Below are 3,364 nucleotides of genomic sequence, written 5' to 3' on the forward strand. Positions count from 1 at the left end.
CCAGTCTGTGTCTTTTAATTGGAGCATTTAGTCCATTTACATTTAAAGTTAATATTGTTATGTGTGAATCTGATCCTGTCATTATGATGTTAGCTGGTTATTTTGCTCTTTGGTTGATGCAGTTTCTTCCTAGTCTCGATGGTCTTTACATTTTGGCATGATTTTGCAGCGGCTAGTATCGGTTGTTCCTTTCCATGTTTAGCACTTCCTTCAGGAGCTCTTTTAGGGCAGGCCTGGTGGTGACCAAATCTCTCAGCATTTGCTTGTCTGTAAAGTATTTTATTTCTCCTTCACTTATGAAGCTTAGTTTGGCTGGATATGAAATTCTGGGTTGAAAATTCTTTTCTTTAAGAATGTTGAATATTGGCCCCCACTCTCTTCTGGCTTGTAGGGTTTCTGCCGAGAGATCCACTGTTAGTCAGAAGGGCTTCCCTTTGAGGGTAACCCAACCTTTCTCTCTGGCTGCCCTTAACATTTTTTCCTTCATTTCAACTTTGGTGAATCTGACAATTATGTGTCTTGGAGTTGCTCTTCTCGAGGAGTATCTTTGTGGCATTCTCTGTATTTCCTGAATCTGAACATTGGCCTGCCTTGCTAGATTGGGGAAGTTCTCCTGGATAATATCCTGCAGAGTGTTTTCCAACTTGGTTCCATTCTCCCCATCACTTTCAGGTACACCAATCAGACGTAGATTTGGTCTTTTCACATAGTCCCATATTTCTTGGAGGCTTTGCTCATTTCTTTTTATTCTTTTTTCTCTAAACTTCCCTTCTCACTTCATTTCATTCATTTCATCTTCCATTGCTGATACCCTTTCTTCCAGTTGATCGCATCAGCTCCTGAGGCTTCTGCATTCTTCACGTAGTTCTCGAGCCTTGGTTTTCAGCTCCATCAGCTCCTTTAAGCACTTCTCTGTATTGGTTACTCTAGTTATACATTCTTCTAAATTTTTTTCAAAGTTTTCAACTTCTTTGCCTTTGGTCTGAATGTCCTCCCATAGCTCAGAGTAATTTGATCGTCTGAAGCCTTCTTCTCTCAGCTCGTCAAAGTCATTCTCCATCCAGCTTTGTTCCGTTGCTGGTGAGGAACTGTGTTCCTTTGGAGGAGGAGAGGCGCTCTGCTTTTTAGAGTTTCCAGTTTTTCTGTTCTGTTTTTTCCCCATCTTTGTGGTTTTATCTACTTTTGGTCTTTGATGATGGTGATGTACAGATGGGTTTTTGGTGTGGATGTCCTTTCTGTTTGTTAGTTTTCCTTCTAACAGACAGGACCCTCAGCTGCAGGTCTGTTGGAATACCCTGCCGTGTGAGGTGTCAGTGTGCCCCTGCTGGGGGGTGCCTCCCAGTTAGGCTGCTCGGGGGTGAGGGGTCAGGGACCCACTTGAGGAGGCAGTCTGCCCATTCTCAGATCTCCAGCTGCGTGCTGGGAGAACCACTGCTCTCTTCAAAGCTGTCAGACAGGGACATTTAAGTCTGCAGAGGTTACTGCTGTCTTTTTGTTTGTCTGTGCCCTGCCTCAGAGGTGGAGCCTACAGAGGCAGGCAGGCCTCCTTGAGCTGTGGTGGGCTCCACCCAGTTCGAGCTTCCTGGCTGCTTTATTTACCTAAGCAAGCCTGGGCAATGGTGGGCGCCCCTCCCCCAGCCTTGCTGCCACCTTGCAGTTTGATCTCAGACTGCTGTGCTAGCAATCAGCGAGACTCCGTGGGCATAGGACCCTCCGAGCCAGGTGCGGGATATAATCTCGTGGTGCGCCGTTTTTTAAGCTGGTCGGAAAAGCGCAGTATTCGGGTGGGAGTGATCCGATTTTCCAGGTGCGTCCATCACCCCTTTCTTTGACTCGGAAAGGGAACTCCCTGACCCCTTGAGCTTCCCAAGTGAGGCAATGCCTCGCCCTGCTTCGTCTCGCGCACAGTGTGCGCACCCACTGACCTGCGCCCACTGTCTGGCACTCCCTAGCGAGATGAACCCGGTACCTCAGATGGAAATGCAGAAATCACCCTTCTTCTGCGTCGCTCACACTGGGAGCTGTAGACCGGAGCTGTTCCTATTCGGCCATCTTGGCTCCTCCCCCCCATCTTGGCTCCTCCCCCCTGTTGTTGATTTTTTATTTTTTTTATTCTCCACTGTTCTGTGATGTAAAAAATATTGTTGAAAATGTGACAAAGACCTGCAGATATCCCTGTGGGTAACAGTAATAAGAAAAAGAAAAAGCACTTATGTTTATAGCACAAGAAGTCAAGCTATTGGAGAAACCAGACAATGGCATGTGAAATGTCTTATAGGAGATTATGGTGTTGGAATGATCACTATATATGCTCTGATAAAACAGGATAAACTGTTGGAGTTCTACGCTGAAAGTGATGAACAGAAGCTAATAAAAAAATTAAAGCTACATAAACTTAAAAATGAAGATTGTGTATTGAAAGAGTAGACCTGTCAGTATAGCAGTGAACACAAGCTCACAAAACAAGCAAAGATCTATCACAATGAACTTAAAATTAAAGGGAACTGCAAATATTCAATATTACTATTGGTTGCAGAAATTTAAGAATATAGATGGCATTAAATTTTTAATGATTTGTAGTGATAAACCATTTGCTGATCATAAAGCAGTGAAGAAACTGACAAGTTTTCTAAGGTCATCACTGATGAAAATGTGACACCAGAGCAAGTCTATAATGCTGATGACTGTAGCTGAAGAGACAGCCCCTGATAATTAAGGATGCCAAGGATAGAATAACTGTGCTGGGCTGTGCTAGTGCAGCAGGCACACATAAGTGTAAACTAGTTGTGATGGGCAAAAATTTGCATCCTCACTCTTTTTAAGGAGTGAATTTCTTACCAGTCAATTATCATACTAACAAAAGGCATAGATCACCAGGGACATTTTCTCTGGTTTCTTAAACATTTTGCACTAGCAGCTCATGGACACTGCAGGGAAGATGGACTGGATGATTACTGCAAGTTTTTTTATTTTATTCCTTTTATTCCTTGATATTGATTCTGCTCATCATCCAGTTGAAATTCTTATAAAAAATATGTGTATGTCATCTACTTTTCCTCAAATGTGATTTCATTAACTCAAACATCTGACCATGGTATCCTTAAATCAATAAAGTGTAAATGCCATCTTGAGTAGCATGCTGGCAGCAATGAACAGAGGTGTGGGTGTAGAAGACTTTTAAAAGACATTTAGCATGAAGGATGCCACATGTGCTATTGCCAATGCTTGGAACACAATGACTAAAGGCACAGTTATGCATGCCTGGCACAACCTCTGGCCTGTGACTATGTTCAGTCACAGATGATAATACAAAAAGTAGTAATTTGAAGGATTCTGTAGATCAAGTGAGAAAAAAAAATGATGC

At 43.1% G+C, this 3,364-nt stretch overlaps 1 annotated feature.

The window, feature by feature from the left end:
* Nucleotides 1,240–1,741: an enhancer, noted in NCBI's record as "H3K4me1 hESC enhancer chr1:80409277-80409778 (GRCh37/hg19 assembly coordinates)". NCBI's record gives its function as "activates a minimal SCP1, AML or CMV promoter by ChIP-STARR-seq in naive H9 embryonic stem cells {active_cell/tissue: H9 hESC(naive)}" and the evidence as "EXISTENCE:reporter gene assay evidence [ECO:0000049][PMID:30033119]".

Source organism: Homo sapiens, chromosome 1, assembly GCF_000001405.40.
Source record: "Homo sapiens chromosome 1, GRCh38.p14 Primary Assembly".
In the NCBI taxonomy this organism is placed as follows: domain Eukaryota; kingdom Metazoa; phylum Chordata; class Mammalia; order Primates; family Hominidae; genus Homo; species Homo sapiens.